Raw genomic sequence first — 17,214 nt, 5'->3', positions numbered from 1 at the left:
TAGGAAGAGGGTAGATCAGAGTTACATCACCTAGGTGATCAGTGCAGAGATATGTCAAAAAGCCCCTTGTAGGCAGAGCCTAGACAAGAATTCTCTCCCCGGGGTGATCAGTGCAGAGATATGTCACAAGGCCCCTGTAGGCAGAGCTTAGATGAGTTACATCACCTGGGTGATCAGTGCAAAGATATGTCACAAAACCCCCTGTAGGCAAAGCCTAGACAATTGTTACATCACTTGGGTGATCCGTGGAGAGATCTCTCACAATTCCCCTGTAGGCAGAGCTTATATAACAGTTACATCACCTGGGTGATCAGTGCAGAGATATTTCACAGTGCCCCCAGAGGCAGATGCAAGACAAGAGTCTGTCACCTGGATGATCAGTGCAGAAATACGTCACAATGCCCTCATAGGCAGAGCCTGGACAAAAGCCCCATCACATGGATGATCAGTGCAAAGTTATGTGACAAAGCAACCTTTAGTCAGATCCTAGACAAGGGTTACATCACCTGGGTGATCAGTGCAGAGATATGTTACAATGCACCCTGTAAGCAATGCCTAGACAGGAGTTACATCACCTCGGTGATCACTTCAGAGATATGTCATAACGCCCCTGTAGGCAGAACCTAGAAATGAGTTATATCACCTGGGTGATCAGGGCAGATATGTCACAATGCGCCCTGTAAGGAGAGCCCAGACAAGAGTTGCATCACCTCGGTGATCAGTGCAGAGATATGTCTCAATTAGTCCTGTCGGCAAAGCCCAGAGAAGAGTTACATCATGTCGGTGATCAGTGCAGAGATATGTCAAAATGCCCCTGTGAGCAGAGCCTAGACAAAATTTACATCACCTGGGTGATCAGTGCAGAGACATGTTACAATGTCCATGTAGGTAGAGCCTAGACAATGGTTACATCACCTGGGTGATCATTGCAGAGTGATGTCACAACGCCCTCTGTAGGCAGAGACTAGAGAAGAGTTACATTACCTGTGTGATCAGTGCAGATATATGTCACTATGTCCCTGTGGCCAGAGCCTAAACAAGAGTTACATCACCTGGGTGATTAGTTCAGAGATATGTCGCATTGCCTCCATAGGCAGATCCAAGACAAGAGTCCGTCACCTGGGTGATCAGTGCAGAAATATGTGACAATGCCCCCAATAGGCAGAACCTAGAGAAGAGTCCCATCACCTGGGTGATCAGTGCAGAGTTATACCACAAAGCCCCCTGTAGGCAGAGCCTAGACAAGAGTTACATCACCTGGTTGATTACTGTAGAGATATGTCACAATGCCACTGTAGGCAGAGCCTAGACAAAAGTCCCATCACCTGGGTGATCAGTGCAGAGATATGTCACAAAGCTCCTGTAGGCAGAGCCTAGACAAGGGTTACATCACTTGGTTGATCAGTTCAGAGATGTGTCACAATGCCCATGTAGGCAGAGCCTAGGCAAGAGCTACAACATCTGAGTGATCAATGCAGTGATATGTCACTATGCCCCAATAGGCAGAGCATAGTCAAGTGTTACATCACTTGGGTGATCAGTGCAGAGATAGGTCAAAATGCCCCCATACACAGAGACTATAAAATAGTCTCATCACCTGCACTACAGCCTGTGTGACAGAGGGAGACCCTGTCGAAAGAAAGGAGTGGAATGGAAGGGATTGAAATGGAATGGAACGGATTGGAGTAGAGTGGAGTGGAATTGAGTGGAGTGCAGTGCAGTGGAATGGAATGGAATGGAATGGTGAAATGAAATGTGAGCTGAGATTGTGCCACTGCACACCAGCCTGGGTGACAGAGTGAGATACAGTCAAAAGAAAGTACTGGAATGGAATGGAGTGGAATGGAATGTAATGGAGTTGAGAGCAGTGGAGTGGAGTAGAAAGGAGTGGAATGGAATGGGATGGAATGGAAAGGACTGGAGTGGACTGGAATGGAGTGGAGTGGAGTGGAATGGATTGGAGTGGAGTGGAGTGGAATTTAATGGAGTAGAATGCAATGGAATGGTGAAATGAAATGTGAGCTGAGATTGTGCCACTGCACTCCAGGCTTGGTGACAGAGTGAGATACTCTCTAAAGAAAGGAATGGAATTGAATGCAGTGGAATGGAATGGAATGGATTGGAGTGGAGTGGAGTGAAGTGGATTGGAGTGCAATCAAGAGGAATGGAAAAAGGTGGAATGGAATGGAATGAAGGAAGAGGAGTGGAGAGGGGTGGAGTGGAGTGCAGTGGGATGGAGCGGAATGGAACGGGATGGAGTGGAATGGAGTGGAGTGGAGTGCACTGGAGTGGAGAGGACTGGAATGGAGTGTAATGGAATCGGATGTAATGGAATGTAGTGCAGTGGAGGGGAGTGGAGTGGAACAGAGTGGAATGGAAGAGAATTGAATGGAATGGAACAGAATGGAAAGGAATGGAATGGAATGGAATGCAATGGAATAGAATGCAACGCAATGGAAAGATGACATGTAATGTGAGCTGAGATTGTGCCACTGCACTCCAGCCAGGGTGACACAGAGATATCCTGTCGAAGGAAAGGAATGGAAAGCAATGGAGTGGAGTGGAGTGGAATGGAATGGCATGGAGTGGAACGGAGTGGAGTGGAGTGGAGTGAAATACAGTGGAATGGAATGGGATGGAATGGAATGCAATGGAATGGTGAAAAGAAATGTCAGCTGAGATTGTGCCACTGCACTCCAGCCTTTGTGACCGAGTGAGATCCTGTGGAAAGAAAGGAATGGAACGGAATGGAATGGAGTGCAATGGAATGCAGTGGAGTGGAGTGGAATTGAGTGGAGTGGAATTGAGTGGAGTGGAGTAGAGTGGAATGGAATGGAGTGGAGTGGAATGGAGTGGCACGGATTGGAATGGAGTGGGAGTGGACTGGAGTGGAAATGGAGAGGAGTGGAGTGGAGTCGAAGGGAATGGAATGGAATGCAGTGGAATGGAATGGAATGAAATGGTGAAAAGAAATGTGTGACACAGGGAGATCCTGTCAAAAGAAAGGAGTGGAATGGAAGGGATTGGAATGGAATGGAATGGATTGGAGTAGAGTGGAGTGGAATTGAGTGGAGTGGAGTGCAGTGGAATGGAATGGAATGGAGTGGAATGATGAAATGATATGTGAGCTGAGATTGTGCCACTGCACACCAGCCTGAGTGACAGAGTGGGATCCTGTCAAAAGAAAGGAATGTAATGGAATGGAGTGGAATGGAATGGATTGGAGTGGAGGGAAGTGGAGTGGAAAGGAGTGGAATGCAATGGGATGGAATGGGAAGGACTGGAATGGACTGGAAAGGAGTGGAGTGGAGTGGAATGTACTGGAGTGGAGTGGAGTGGAATGTACTGGAGTGGAGTGGAGTGGAATAGAATGGAATAGAATGGAATTGAATGGGGAAATATAATGTGAGCTGAGATTGTGCCACTACGCTCCAGGCTGGGTGACAGAGTGAGATACTCTTGAAAGAAAGGAATGGAATGGAATGCAGTGTAATGGAATGGAGTGGACTGCAGAGGAGTGGAGTGGAGTGAAGTGGAGTGGAGTGGAATGGAGATGAATGGAATGAGATGGAATGGAATGCAATGAAGTGGAGTGGGGTGGAGTGGAGTGCAGCCGAATGGAGAGGAATGGAATGGGATGGAGTGGAATGGAGTGGAGTGGAGTGCAGTGGAGTGGAGAGGAGTGGAATAGAGTGGAATGGAATAGGATGTAATGGAATGTAGAGGAGTGGAGTGGAGTCGGAGTCGGAGTGTGATGGAATGTAATGGAAAGGAATGGAATGCAATTGAATGCAAAGAAATGGAAAGTTGACATGTAATGTGACCTGAGATTGTGCCACTGCACTCCAGCCTCTGTGACAGAGTGAGATCCTTTGGAAAGAAAGGAACGGAATGGTATGGAATGGAGTGGAGTAGAGTGGAGTGGAATGGAATGGAATGGAATGCAATGGAAAGCAATGGAATGCAATGGAATAGAATGCAGTGAAAAGGAAAGTTGACATGTAATGTGAGCAGAGATTGTGCCACTGCACTCCAGCCTGGGTGACACAGTGATATCCTGTCAAAAGAAAGGAATGGAATGCAATGGAGTGAAATGGAATGGAATGGAGTGGAGTGGAGTGGAGTGGAATGCAATGGAATGGAGTGGAGTGGAATGGAATGGAGTGGAATGGAATGGTATGGAATGGAGTGGAGTGGAATGGAATGGAGAGGAATGGAGTGGAGTGGAGTGGAATGCAATCGAATGGAATGTAATGGAAGGGAATGGAATGGAAGGGAATGGAATGGAGTGGAATGGAATGAAATGGAATGGAGTGGAGTGGAGAGGAGTGGAATGGAATGGAATAGAGTGGAATGGAGTGGAAAAGAGTGGAATGGAATGTGGTGGAATGAAATGGAGTGGAGTGGACTGGAGTAGAGTGGAATGGAATGCAGTGGAATGGAATGGAGTGTAATGGAATGGAATGGAATGGAACGGAATGGAATGGAATGAAATGGTGAAAAGAAATGTGTGCTGAGATTGTGTCACTGCACTAAACCTGTGTGACAGAGGGAGATCCTGTCGAAAGAAAGGAGTGAAATGGAAGGGATTGGAATGGAATGGATTGGAGTGGAGTGGAGTCGAATTGAGTGGAGTGGAGTGCTGTGGAATAGAATGGAATGGAATGGAATGGTGAAGTGAAATGTGAGATGAGACTGTACCACTGCACACCAGCCTGGGTGACAGAGTGAGATCCTGTCAAAAGAAAGGAATGGAATGGAGTGGAGTGGAGTGGAAAGGAGTGGAATGGAATGGGATGGAATGGAAAGGAGTGGAGTGGACTGGAATGGCGTGGAGTGGAATGGAGTGGAATGGATTGGAGTGGAGTGGAGTGGAGTGGGATGGAATGGAATGGAATGGTGAAATGAAATGTGAGCTGAGATTGTGCCACTGCGCTCCAGGCTGGGTGACAGAGTGAGATACTTTCAAAAGAAAGGAATAGAATGGAATGCAGTGGAATGGAATGGCATGGAATGGAGTGGAGTGGGGTGAAGTGGAGTGGACTGGAATGGAGAGGAATGGAATAGGATGGAATGGAATGGAATGAAGTGGAGATGAGTGGGGTGGAGTGGATTGCAGTGGAATGGAGTGGAATGGGATGGAGTGGAATGGAGTGAAGTGCAGTGGAGAGGAGAGGAGTGGAATGGAGTGGAATGGAATCGGATGTAAAGGAATTTAGTGGAGTGGAGTGGAGTGGAACGGAGGGTTATGGAATGGAATTGAATGGAATGGAATGGTGAAATGAAATGTGATCTAAGATTGTGCCACTGAACTCCAGTCTGGTTGATAGAGTGAGATCCAGTAGAAATAAAGGAATGGAGTGGAGTGGAGTGGAATGGAGTAGAGTGGAATGGAGTGGAGTGGAATGGAATGGCATGGAATGGAGTGGAATGGAATGGAGTGGAGTGGAATGGAGTGGAGTGGAATGGAATGGAAAGGAGTGGAGTGGAATGGAATGGCATGGAAGGGAGTGGAGTGGAGAGAAGTAGAGTGGAATGGAATGGAGTGGAGTGGAGTGCAATGGAGTGGAATGGAGTGGAGTCGAATGGAATGGGATGGAGTGGAATGGAATGGAGTGGAGTGGAGTGAAATATAGTGGAATAGAATGGGATGGAATGGAACGCAATGGAATGGTGAAAATAAATGTGAGCTGAGATTGTGATACTGCACTCCAGCCTTTGTGACAGAGTGAGATCCTGTGGAAAGAAAGGAATGGAATGGAAGGGAATGCAATGGAGGGGAGGGGAGTGGAATGGAGTGGAATGGAGTGGAGTGGAGGGGAGTGGAATTGAGTTGAGTGGAGTGGAATAGAGTGGAATGGAATGGAGTGGAGTGGACTGGCATGGAGTGGAATGGAGTGGAGTGGATTGGAGTGGAATGGAGAGGAGTGGAGTAGAGTGGAATGGAATGGAGTGGATTGGCATGGAGTGGCATGGAGTGGAATGGAGTGGAGTGGAGTGGAATGGAGAGGACTGGAGTGGAGTGGAAGGGAATGGAATGGAATAGAGTGGAATGGAATGGAATGAAATGGTGAAAAGAAATGTGTGCTGAGATTGTGCCACTGTGCTACAGCCTGTGTGACACAGGGAGATCCTTTTGAAGGAAAGGAGTGGAATTTAAGGGATTGGAATGGAATGGAATGGAGTGGACTGGAGTGGAATGGAATTGAGTGGAGTGGAGTGGAGTGCGGTGGAATGGAATGGAATGGAGTGGAATGGTGAAATGAAATGTGAGCTGAGATTGTGCCACTGCACACCAGCCTGGGTGACAGAGTGAGACCCTGTCAAAACAAAGGAATGGAATGGAGTGGAATGGAATGGAGTGGAGTGGAAAGGAGTGGAATGGAATGGACTGGAATGGAGTGGAGTGGAATGGAATGGGATGGAATAGAATGGAATGGAATGGTGAAATGAAATGTGTGCTGAGATTGTGCCACTACACTCCAGGCTGGGTGACAGAGTGAGATACTCTCGAAAGAAAGGAATGGAATGGAATGGAATGCAGTGTAATGTAATGTAATGGAATAGAACGGAATGGAGTGAACTGGAGAGGAGTGGAGTGAAGAGGAGTGGCGTGGAATGGAGAGGAATGGAATAGAATGAAGTGGAGTGGAGTGGGGTGGAGTGGAGTGCAGTGGAATGGAACGGAATGGAATGGGATGGAGTGGAATGGAGTGGAGTGCAGTGGAGTGCAGAGGAGTGGAATGGAGTGGAATGGAATCGGATGTAATGGAATGTAGAGGAATGGAGTGGAGTGGAGTCGAACGGAGTGGAATGGAATGGAAAGGAATGGAATGGAATGGAATGCAATGGAAAGGAATGGAATGCAATTGAATGTAATGGAATAGAATGCAATGCAATGGAAAGTTGACATGTAATATGAGCTGAGATAGTGCCACTGCACTCCAGCCTGGGTGACACCATGATATACTGTGGAAAAGAAGCTATGGAATGCAATGGAGTGAAATGGTATGGAATGGAATGGAATGGAGTTGAGTGGAGTCGAGTTTAGTGGAATGGAGTCGACTGGAGTGGAATGGAGTCGAGTGGAGTGAAATAGAGAGGAATGGAATGGGATGGAATGGAATGCAATGGAATGGTGGAAAGAAATGTGAGCTGAGATTGTGCCACTGCACTCCAGCCTATGTGACAGAGTGACATCCTTTGGAAAGGAAGGAACGGAATGGCATGGAATGGAAGGGAGTGGAGTGGAGAGGAGTGGAGTGGAATGGAATGGAGTGGGATGGAATGCAATGGAAATGAATGGAATGGAACAGAATGGAACGGAATGGAATGGAATGGTGAAAAGAAATGTGTGCTGAGATTGTGCCACTGCGCTGCACCCTGTGTGAGAGGGAGATCCTGTCGAAAGAAAGGAGTGCAATGGAAGGGATTGGAATTGAATGGAATGGAATAGGTTGGAGTGGAGTGGACTGGAATTCAGTGGATTGGAGTGGAGTACAGTGGAATGGAATGGAATGGAATGGTGAAATGAAAAGTGGGCTGAGATTGTGCCAATGCACTCCAGCCTGGGTGACAGAGTGAGATCCTGTCAAAAGAAAGGAATGGAATCTAATGGAGTGGAATGGAATGGAGTGGAGTAGAGTGCATTGGAGAGGAAAGGAGTGGAATGGAATGGAAAGGAGTGGAGTGGAATGGAATGGAGTGGAGTGGAATGGATTGCAGTGGAGTGGAGTGGAGCGGAATGGAACTGAATGGATTGGAATTGAATGGAATGGTGAAACGAAATGTCAGCTGAGATTGTGCCACTGCTCTCCAGGCTGGGTGATGGAGTGAGATACTCTCAAAAGAAAGGAAAGGAATGGAATGCAGTGGAATGGAATGGAGTGGACTGGAGTGGAGTGGAGTGGAGTGGAGTGAAGTGGAGTGGAGTGGAATGGAGAGGAATGGAATGGGATAGAATGGAATGGAATGAAGTGGAGTGAAGTGGGGTGGAGCGGAGTCCAGTGGAATGGAGTGGAATGGAATGGGATAGAGTGGAATGGAGTGGTGGGGAGAGCAGTGGAATGGAGAGGAGTGGAATGTAATTGGATGTTATAGAATGTAGTGGAGTGGAGTGGAACGGAATGGAATGGAATACAATGGAATGCAATGGAATGCAATGGAATGCAATGGAATTCAGCAGAATGCAATGGAATAGAATGCAATGAAATGGAAAGTTGACATGTAATGTGAGCAGAGATTGTGCCACTGCACTCCAGCCTGGGTGACACAGTGATATCCTGTCGAAAGAAAGGAATGGAATGCAATGGAGTGAAGTGGAATGGAATGAAAGGGAGTGGAGTGGAGTGGAGTGGAGCAGAATGGAGTGGAATGCAATGGAATGGAATGGAGTGGAGTGGAATGGAATGGCATGGAATGGAGTGGAGTGGAATGGAATGGAATGGAGAGGAATGGAGTGGAGTGGAGTGGAATGCAATGGAATGTAATGTAATGGAAGGGAATGGAATGGAGTGGAATGTGGTGGAGAGGAGTGGAAGGGAGTAGAATGGAATGGAGTGGAATGAAATGGAATGGAGTGGAAAAGAGTGGAATGCAATGCAGTGGAATGAAATGGAGTGGAGTGGACTGGAGTAAAGTGGAATGGAATGCAGTGGAATGGAATGGAGTGGAGTGGAGTGGAAAGGAGTGGAATGGAATGGGATGGAATGGAAAGGAGTGGAGTGGACTGGAGTGGAGTGGAATGGATTGGAGTGGAGTAGAGTGGAGTGGAATGGAATGGAATGGTGAAATGAAATGTGAGCTGAGATTGTGCCACTGTGCTGCAGGCAGGGTGACAGAGTGAGATACTTTTGAAAGAAAGGAATAGCGTGGAATGCAGTGGAATCGAATGGAATGGAATGGAGTGGACTAGAGTGGAGTGGAGTGAGGTGAAGTAGAGTGGACTGGAATGGAGAGGAATGGAATGGGATGGAATGGAATGGAATGAAGTGGAGATGAGTGGGGTGGAGTGGATTGCAGTGGAATGGAGCAGAATGGAATGGGATGGAGTGGAATGGAGTGCAGTGGAGTGCAGTGGAGAGGAGAGGAGTGGAATGGAGTGGAACGGAATTGGATATAATGGAATTTAATGGAGTGGAGTGGAGTAAAGTGGAACGGGAGTGTTATGGAATGGAATGGAATAGAATGGATTCGAATGGAATGGAATGGAATGGACTCGAATGGAATGGAATCAAATGAAATGGAATCTAATGAAATGTAATAGAATGGAATGGACTCGAATTGAATGGATCAGAATGGAACGGTCTCGAATGGAATGGAATCGAATGGAATGCAATCGAGTGGAATGGAATGGACTCGAATGGAAAGGAATGGAATCAAAAGGAATGGAAACGGAATGGACTCAAATGGAATGGACTGGAATGGAAGGCAATCGAATGGAATGGAATCGAATGGAATGGAATCAAATGTAATGGACTGGAATGGAATGGATTCAAATGGAATGGACAGTAATGGAATGGTCCCGAAAGGAATGGAATGGAATGGAATAGAATGGAATGGACTCGAAAGAAATGGCCTGGAATGGAATGGACTTGAATGGAATGGACTCGAGTGAAATGGAATAAAATGGAATGGAATAGAATTTAATGGAATGGAATGGAATGGATTGGAATGGAAAGGAATTGAATCGAATCAAATGTTATGGAATCAAATGGAAGGAAACGGAATGGAATGGAATGGATTCGAAGGGAATGGAATGGAATGGAATGACATGGAATGGAATGGAATGGAATGGAATGACATGGAATGGAATGGAATGGATTCGAAAGGAATGGAATGGAATGGACTCAAAAGGAATGGACTGGAATGGCATGGAATCGAATGGAATTGAATGCAATGGAATGCAATGGAATGGACTCGAATGGAATGGAATGGAAAGGAATGGAATGGACTGGAATGAAATGGAATTGAATGGAATGGAATGGACAGGAATGGAATGGACTCAAATGGAATGGAATCGAAAGGAATGGAATTGAATGGAATGGAATAGAATGGAATGGAATAGACTCGAAGGTAATGGACTGGAATGGAATGGACTTGAATGGAATGGACTCGAATGGAATGGAAACGAATGGAATGGAATCTAATTGAATGGAATCGAATGGAATGCAAACGAATGGAATGGAATCAAATGAAAGGGAATCAATTGGAATGGACTCGAATGGAATGGACTCGAATGTAATGGACTGGACTGGAATGGTATGGAATGGAATTCAAAGCAATGGAATGAAATGGAATGGATCCGAATGGAATGGACTGGACTGGAATGGACTGGAATGGAAAGGAATGGAAGGGAAGGGAATGCATTGGACTCGAATTTAATGGAATGGAATAGAATGGAATGGAATTGATTTGAATGGAATGGAATCGAATGGAATTGAATTGAATGGAATGACATGGAATGGAATCAAATGGAATGGAATGGAATGAATTCGAACGGAATGGAATGGAATGGACTTGAAAGGAATGGACTGGAATGGAATGGAATGGATTCAAATTTAATGGAATGGAATAGAGTGGAATGGAATGGAATAGAATGGAATGGAATGGATTGGAATGGAATTGATTTGAATGGAATGGAATCGAATGGAATTGAATTGAATGGAATGGCATGGAATGGAATCAAATGGAATGGAATGGAATGAATTCGAACGGAATGGAATTGAATGGACTTGAAAGGAATGGACTGGAATGGAATGGAATGGATTCAAATTTAATGGAATGGAATAGAATGGAATGGAATGGATTGGAATGGAATTGATTTGAATGGAATGGAATCGAATGGACTGGAATGGAATGGAATGGAATGGAATCGAGTGGAATGGCATAAAATGCACTGGAATCTAATGGAATGGAATGGACTAGAATGGAATGGAATGGACTCGAATGGAATGGACTGGAATGGAATGGACTAGAATGGAATGGACTCGAAAGGAAGAGGAATCAAATGGAATGGAATAGAACAGAATGGAATCAAATCGGATGGCATGCAATCGGATGGCATGCAATCGGATGGAACGGATTAGAATGGAATGGAATGCAATCGAAATTGAATGGAATGGACTGGAATGGAAAGGACTCGCATGGAATGGACTCGCATGGAATGGAATGGAAAGGAATGGAATGGAAAGGAAAGGAAAGGAAAGGAAAGCAATGGAATAGAATGGTACGGACTCGAATGGAACGGACTCGAATGGAACAGACTTGAATGGAATGGACTCGAATGGGATGGAATCAAATGGGATGGAATCAAATGGAACGGACTGCAATGCAATGGACTTGAAAGGAATCGCCTCGAATGGAATGGAATGGTATGGAATGGAATAGAGTGGATTGTACTCGAATGTAATCGACCGGAATGGAATGGAATTCAATGAAATGAACTTGAATGGAATGCAATCGAATGGAATGGAATGGTATGGAATGGAATGGAGTGTAATTCAATGGACTCGAATGGAATGTAATCGAATGGTATGCATTCGAATGGAATGTAATCCAATGGAATGGAATTGGATGGAATGGACTGTAGTGGAATGGACTGGAATGGAATGGACTCAAAGGGAATGGATTGGAATGATATGGACTTGAATGGAATGGACTCGAAAGGAATGGAATCGAATGAAATGGAATTGAATGGAATGGAATTGAATGGAAGGGATTTGAAACGAAAGGAATGGAATTGAATGGAATGGAAACTAATGGAATGGAATGGAATGCAATGGAATGGAATCGAATGGAATGTAATCGAATGGAATGGAATCGAATGGAGTGTAATAGTACAGTCTCGAATGGAATGGAATTGAATGGAATGGAATCGAATGGAATGGAATCGAATGGAATGGAAAGGAATGGAATGGAACCGAATGGAATGGACTGGAATGGAATGGAATCGAATGGAATGGACTCAAAGGGAATGGAATGGAATGGAATGGACACGAATGGAATGGATTCGAATTGAATGGATGCAAATGGAATGGATTCAATTGGATGGACTCGAATGGAATGCAATCGAATGGAATGCAATCAAACGGGATGGAATCGAATGGAATAGAATTGAATGGAATAGAATCGAATGGAATAGAATCGAATGGAATAGAATCGAATGGAAGGGAATCGAATGGAATGGACTGGAATGAAATGGACTTGATTGGAATGGACTCGAATGGAATGGACTCGAAAGGAAATGAATCGAATGGAATGGAATAGAATGGAATGGAATCTATTCTAATGGAATGGAATGGAATACAATCGAATGGAATGCAATGGAATGGAATGGAATCGACTGGAATGGACTTGAATGGAATGGAATCTTCTTGAATGGAATGGATTGGAAGCGACTGGAATGGACTTGAATGGAATGGAATCTTCTGGAATGGAATGAAATGGATTTGATTGGAGTGGACTGGAATGGAGTGGACTAGAATGGAATGAACCCAAAAAGAAAGGAATCGAATGGAATGGAATAGAATTGAATGCAATGGAATGGAATGGAATAGAATCAAATGGAATGGAATCGAGTGGAATGGAATCGAGTGGAATGGAATCGAGTGGAATGGAATGGAATGGAATCGAATACAGGACTGGAATGGAATGGACTCGAATGGATTGGACTGGAATGGAATGAACTCGAATGGAATGAACTCGAATGGAAGGAACTCGAATGGAATGAACTCGAATGGAATGCAATCGAATGGAATGCAATCTAATGGAATGCAATTGAATGGAATGAAATCGAATGGAATGGATTGGAATGGAATGGAATCGAATATAATGGAATGGAACGGAATGGAATCAAATGTAATGGACTCGAATGCAATTCACTGGAATCGAATGGACTCGAATGGAATGAACTTGAATGGAATGGAGTCTAATGTAATGGAATCGAATGCAATGGAACCATATATATATATATATATATATATGTACACACACACACACCGAGTACATGCCCAGTAGTGGGATTACTGGCTCAAATGGTATTTCCGTTTCTAGATCCTTGAGGAATCACCACACTGCCTTCCGCAATGGTTGAACTAATTCACACTCCCACCAACAGTGTAAAAGCATTCCTATTTCTCCACATCTGCTCCAGCATCTGTTGTTTCCTGAGCTTTTAACAATTGCCATTCTAAATGACGTGAGATTGTATCTCATTGTGGTTTTGATTTGCATTTCTCTAATGATCAGTGATGATGAGCTTTTTTTCAGATGTTTGCTGGCTGCATAAATGTATTCTTTTGAGAAGAGTCTGTTCATATCCTTTGCCCACTTTTTGATGAGATTGTTCTTTTCTTGTAAATTTGTTAAAGTTCCTTGTAGATTCTAGATATTAGGCCTTTGTCAGATGGACAGATTGCAAACATTTCCTCCCATTCTGTAGGTTGCCTGTTCACTCTGATCATAGTATTGGAAGTTCTGGCCAGGGTAATCGGCAAGAGAAAGAAATAAACGGTATTCAAATAGGAAGAAAGGAAGTCGAGTTGTCTCTGTTTGCAGATGACATGATTGTATATTTAGAAAACCAAATAGTCTCAGCCCCAAATCTCCTTCAGCTGATAAGCAACTTCCTCATAGTCTCAGGATACAAAGTCAATGTGCAAAATTCACAAGCCTTCCTATACACCAGTTATAGAGCACTAAATCATGAGTGAACTCCCATACACAATTGCTACAAAGAGAATAAAATAACAAGGAATACAACTCACAAGGGATTTGAAGGACCTCTTTAAGGAGAACTACAAACCACCACTCAAGGAAATAAGAGGACACAAACAAATGGAAAAACATTCCATGCTTATGGATAGGAAGAATCAATATCTTGAAAATGGCCATACTGCCCAAAGTAATTTGTAGTTTCAATGCTATACCCATCAAGCTACCATTGACTTTCTTCACAGAATTAGAAAAAACTACTTTAAATTTCATATGGAACCAAAAAAAGAGCCCACATAGCCAAGACAATCCTAAGCAAAAAGAACAAAGCTAGAGGCATCATGCTACCTGACTTCAAACTATACTACTAGGCCACAGTAATGAAAACAGTATGGTACTGGTACCAAAAGAGATATATAGACCAATGCAACAGAACAGAGGCCTCATAAATAATGCCATACATCTACACCATCTGATCTTTGACAAACCTGACAAAGCAATGGGGAAAGGATTCCCTATTTAATAAATGGTGTTGGGAAAACTGGCTAGCCTTATGCAGGAAACTGAAACTGGACCCCTTCCTTACACTTTATACAAAAATTAACTCAAGATGCATTAAAGACTTAAAAGTCAGTTCTAAATGTGTAAAAACCCTGGATGAAAACCTAGGCAGTACCATTCAGGACATAGGCATGGGCAAATACTTCATGACTAAAACACCAAAAGCAATGGCAACAAAAGCCAAAATTGAAAAATGGGATCTAATTAAACTAAAGAACTTGTGTGCAGTTTTATTTGGGAGTGTGAGTGGGGTACCTCTGAGTTTTAAAAATGAAGAAAGTAAGTAGTCGTGCTTTCCTGACTCTTTGGTAGACATAGCCTTTTAAGACAGTCATTCTGAGCTGTTATAGTCTTAGGGTTTTCTGTACTACTAAAACTTATTGACGACATCTAACCAAGAACTTGAATTAAATTTTTTTTTTTAAAAAAGAAAATCACCCAAATACACATTAAAAACCTCTTACAACATATGTGCACATTCATAGATACCCTGTAGAACTTGATTTTGTGTATTAAAACCTTGTAGAAAAGTTCAGACAGTGCACACAATGACTGCAACTTGGTCTTTGCAAAATCAGTGATATATATTTCAGATCTATCCACATTGACCCAGCGAGGTATTTGATTTATTGTATGATCTAATGATATGCCATGTGATGACTGCAGCATATTTAATTATGCTTTCTTCATGCTGATACCATATGGTCATAAATATGATGACATACCAGCATGGATATGCTTACGTGGTTGGTTTTATTGATTTGTACTATATTAGAAATGAAACAGAAGTATTAGAAATCCTAGCAAGCATAGCTGTATCTCTCCCATGGCTGTGTTGATTGCAACAGTTTCCCCTTAAAGCATGTCTTTTTGACATGTCATGACCCTGAGAAAATCCAGTGTATGCTTTTCAGAGAATGACAGTAAGGAGAGGAAATGGCCGATGGTCAAACTGTTACTTGTTCTCTTGGCTCCCCCTCATGAATGTTAAACTCTAAACTACTCAGGTCACAATTTAGAACCCCTTTGTTGATCCCCACAGAGTGTTCCCGGATGTCAAATGACAAATAGGCCCTTGAAGAAAAAACACCCTGTAAAGCCATATTGCTCTGGTTTTTGTGTGTGAATGTGTGTGTGTGTGTGTGTGTGTGTGTATCTGTGCGTATTTTTTCTCTTCTGAAAACTGTAAATAGAATAATTTTCATTACAAATGAAAATATTTCTGTTCCACATTTATTTCCTGTCTCATAGCACTCTGCTCTTCTTGGATCTAGTAAGGATCTCAGCGTTACTTATTTATACCTGCAAAAAATTACATCATTCTTCATTTTTCATGTCAATTACTGACATGTTTTCAAGTCTTCACAAGTTATTTCTGAAGATGTTGGTTCATTGAGGAGAGGCAGTGTCATTGTAGTTAAAGAAGTTTTTAAATAGGTTATGTTCAATAGAATTTCAGAGCCCGTTTCTCTAGAAGGTATAGACATAGTGGTTTTATGCGTAGTTAAACATAAAATAGCTCCACAAAGTCTTTTGTACGTGAAAGTGTTCATATCCTGGAAGATTCTAATTTACTACTCGTACTGTCTCCTGGAGAGGAAAATAGGTAAGATAGGCTGCTGAGCCTATGATAATAACTCATGATATGAGGTGAAAGCATAGAGCCAAAATGAGAGATGATACTCAAACCGATGTGAGTGAAGAACAGTTGTGAAAGTGTCTATGGGAGAGAGAAGGCCATGGCGCTGCTTTTGTGAAGAAGGAATTTGTACACGTTAGTAAAGTGTCTGATACATTTAACATTTTAATAAAACAAAACCTTATCTTCACATGTGTCAGAATGGGATTGTACAGATGTCAGAATACAGTAGTAGTGAGAATAATGAAGAAATGAAAGTGGAGGGCAAAGAATGAAGTCCACCAATATGGATATTAGCTTTATGAATGAAAAAGAGTGTATGTCAAACTGGGCAGAACAAAGAAAGCAGCTAGCTAGGTAATTTGGAGGCTTCTGATGAGGAGACTTGTGGGGAGTCACTTAATGGAAAGCGGAAGTTAGAAGGATGAGGGTGACCCCCAGGGTTTCACTTCTACTCCCTAGAAGTTTTGCACATCAATGATATGTGCTTCGTTCACGTCAGTTAGCATATTGGGATGCAGCTTAATCTAGAAAAAGTTTTTTCTTTAGGAAAGCTGTGCTTGCTGAAGTAGTTATTTCATACCTGAGAGACCCCTATGGTATATTATTTCAAACTAGCTTTAGAAACAAAGTAGTAAAAGAATGTATATCTTGAGTACTAAAAAAAACTACCAATATTCTTGGCAATCATGACATATCTATATATAGATATATATATATAGATATAGTACATATGTATATGTATATATTTGGTTGGTTATTAATAAGAAAAGAAGTCTTGTGATTTAGAGATTTTGTTTACCTTATTTACATGGGAATCTGATTATGCATGATTTCTTTGACATGTATGTTTTTGCAAAAGTGGAAAAAGATGGCAAAAGAGCTGAACTGCTGAATACGGGAAATGTAGGAATATTAGGAGCCTTCATGAGTACAAAGAAAATAATTTTTTAAATTATGACTCTAAGTATAACTGAACTCACTTCAGATGCATTTAGAATATTTGCATAAAAGATGATTTGATTTTGGCTGCTCCAGAAACTACTGGAAGAAGGAAAGAGTTACTAGAATTCAGATAAACCACAATGACTCATTACTTCTCTTTGTTACTATTGGGAATCAGAGACATAGATTTTGTTGATATTAGTCATTCAAATGAAATAAGCATGAATGTGCATACATTGGCTTTGTTTTCCAAGGAGCTAACTTTTGGATGCAATAGCAATTTAATGAAAATTTCTTAGAGAATAACATGATACTTCAAACCAGACTATTTTAGAAACAAGAATAATGTTGAATTC

At 42.8% G+C, this 17,214-nt stretch overlaps 11 annotated features.

Moving 5' to 3' along the window:
* Positions 1,505 to 2,248: an enhancer, noted in NCBI's record as "OCT4-NANOG hESC enhancer chrY:58982623-58983366 (GRCh37/hg19 assembly coordinates)". NCBI's record gives its function as "activates a minimal SCP1, AML or CMV promoter by ChIP-STARR-seq in primed H9 embryonic stem cells {active_cell/tissue: H9 hESC(primed)}" and the evidence as "EXISTENCE:reporter gene assay evidence [ECO:0000049][PMID:30033119]".
* Positions 2,249 to 2,992: an enhancer, noted in NCBI's record as "OCT4-NANOG hESC enhancer chrY:58981879-58982622 (GRCh37/hg19 assembly coordinates)". NCBI's record gives its function as "activates a minimal SCP1, AML or CMV promoter by ChIP-STARR-seq in primed H9 embryonic stem cells {active_cell/tissue: H9 hESC(primed)}" and the evidence as "EXISTENCE:reporter gene assay evidence [ECO:0000049][PMID:30033119]".
* Positions 2,993 to 3,736: an enhancer, noted in NCBI's record as "OCT4-NANOG-H3K27ac hESC enhancer chrY:58981135-58981878 (GRCh37/hg19 assembly coordinates)". NCBI's record gives its function as "activates a minimal SCP1, AML or CMV promoter by ChIP-STARR-seq in primed H9 embryonic stem cells {active_cell/tissue: H9 hESC(primed)}" and the evidence as "EXISTENCE:reporter gene assay evidence [ECO:0000049][PMID:30033119]".
* Positions 4,483 to 5,226: an enhancer, noted in NCBI's record as "OCT4-NANOG-H3K27ac-H3K4me1 hESC enhancer chrY:58979645-58980388 (GRCh37/hg19 assembly coordinates)". NCBI's record gives its function as "activates a minimal SCP1, AML or CMV promoter by ChIP-STARR-seq in primed H9 embryonic stem cells {active_cell/tissue: H9 hESC(primed)}" and the evidence as "EXISTENCE:reporter gene assay evidence [ECO:0000049][PMID:30033119]".
* Positions 5,227 to 5,970: an enhancer, noted in NCBI's record as "OCT4-NANOG-H3K27ac hESC enhancer chrY:58978901-58979644 (GRCh37/hg19 assembly coordinates)". NCBI's record gives its function as "activates a minimal SCP1, AML or CMV promoter by ChIP-STARR-seq in naive and primed H9 embryonic stem cells {active_cell/tissue: H9 hESC(naive and primed)}" and the evidence as "EXISTENCE:reporter gene assay evidence [ECO:0000049][PMID:30033119]".
* Positions 5,971 to 6,714: an enhancer, noted in NCBI's record as "OCT4-NANOG-H3K27ac hESC enhancer chrY:58978157-58978900 (GRCh37/hg19 assembly coordinates)". NCBI's record gives its function as "activates a minimal SCP1, AML or CMV promoter by ChIP-STARR-seq in naive and primed H9 embryonic stem cells {active_cell/tissue: H9 hESC(naive and primed)}" and the evidence as "EXISTENCE:reporter gene assay evidence [ECO:0000049][PMID:30033119]".
* Positions 6,715 to 7,460: an enhancer, noted in NCBI's record as "OCT4-NANOG-H3K27ac hESC enhancer chrY:58977411-58978156 (GRCh37/hg19 assembly coordinates)". NCBI's record gives its function as "activates a minimal SCP1, AML or CMV promoter by ChIP-STARR-seq in naive H9 embryonic stem cells {active_cell/tissue: H9 hESC(naive)}" and the evidence as "EXISTENCE:reporter gene assay evidence [ECO:0000049][PMID:30033119]".
* Positions 7,461 to 8,204: an enhancer, noted in NCBI's record as "OCT4-NANOG hESC enhancer chrY:58976667-58977410 (GRCh37/hg19 assembly coordinates)". NCBI's record gives its function as "activates a minimal SCP1, AML or CMV promoter by ChIP-STARR-seq in naive and primed H9 embryonic stem cells {active_cell/tissue: H9 hESC(naive and primed)}" and the evidence as "EXISTENCE:reporter gene assay evidence [ECO:0000049][PMID:30033119]".
* Positions 8,205 to 8,948: an enhancer, noted in NCBI's record as "OCT4-NANOG hESC enhancer chrY:58975923-58976666 (GRCh37/hg19 assembly coordinates)". NCBI's record gives its function as "activates a minimal SCP1, AML or CMV promoter by ChIP-STARR-seq in primed H9 embryonic stem cells {active_cell/tissue: H9 hESC(primed)}" and the evidence as "EXISTENCE:reporter gene assay evidence [ECO:0000049][PMID:30033119]".
* Positions 8,949 to 9,692: an enhancer, noted in NCBI's record as "OCT4-NANOG-H3K4me1 hESC enhancer chrY:58975179-58975922 (GRCh37/hg19 assembly coordinates)". NCBI's record gives its function as "activates a minimal SCP1, AML or CMV promoter by ChIP-STARR-seq in primed H9 embryonic stem cells {active_cell/tissue: H9 hESC(primed)}" and the evidence as "EXISTENCE:reporter gene assay evidence [ECO:0000049][PMID:30033119]".
* Positions 12,673 to 13,418: an enhancer, noted in NCBI's record as "OCT4-NANOG hESC enhancer chrY:58971453-58972198 (GRCh37/hg19 assembly coordinates)". NCBI's record gives its function as "activates a minimal SCP1, AML or CMV promoter by ChIP-STARR-seq in primed H9 embryonic stem cells {active_cell/tissue: H9 hESC(primed)}" and the evidence as "EXISTENCE:reporter gene assay evidence [ECO:0000049][PMID:30033119]".

This window comes from Homo sapiens, chromosome Y (genome assembly GCF_000001405.40).
Source record: "Homo sapiens chromosome Y, GRCh38.p14 Primary Assembly".
Classification (NCBI taxonomy): domain Eukaryota; kingdom Metazoa; phylum Chordata; class Mammalia; order Primates; family Hominidae; genus Homo; species Homo sapiens.
The sequence above is the reverse complement of the archived record's forward strand: the minus strand, read 5'-3'. Positions and strand labels throughout refer to the sequence as shown.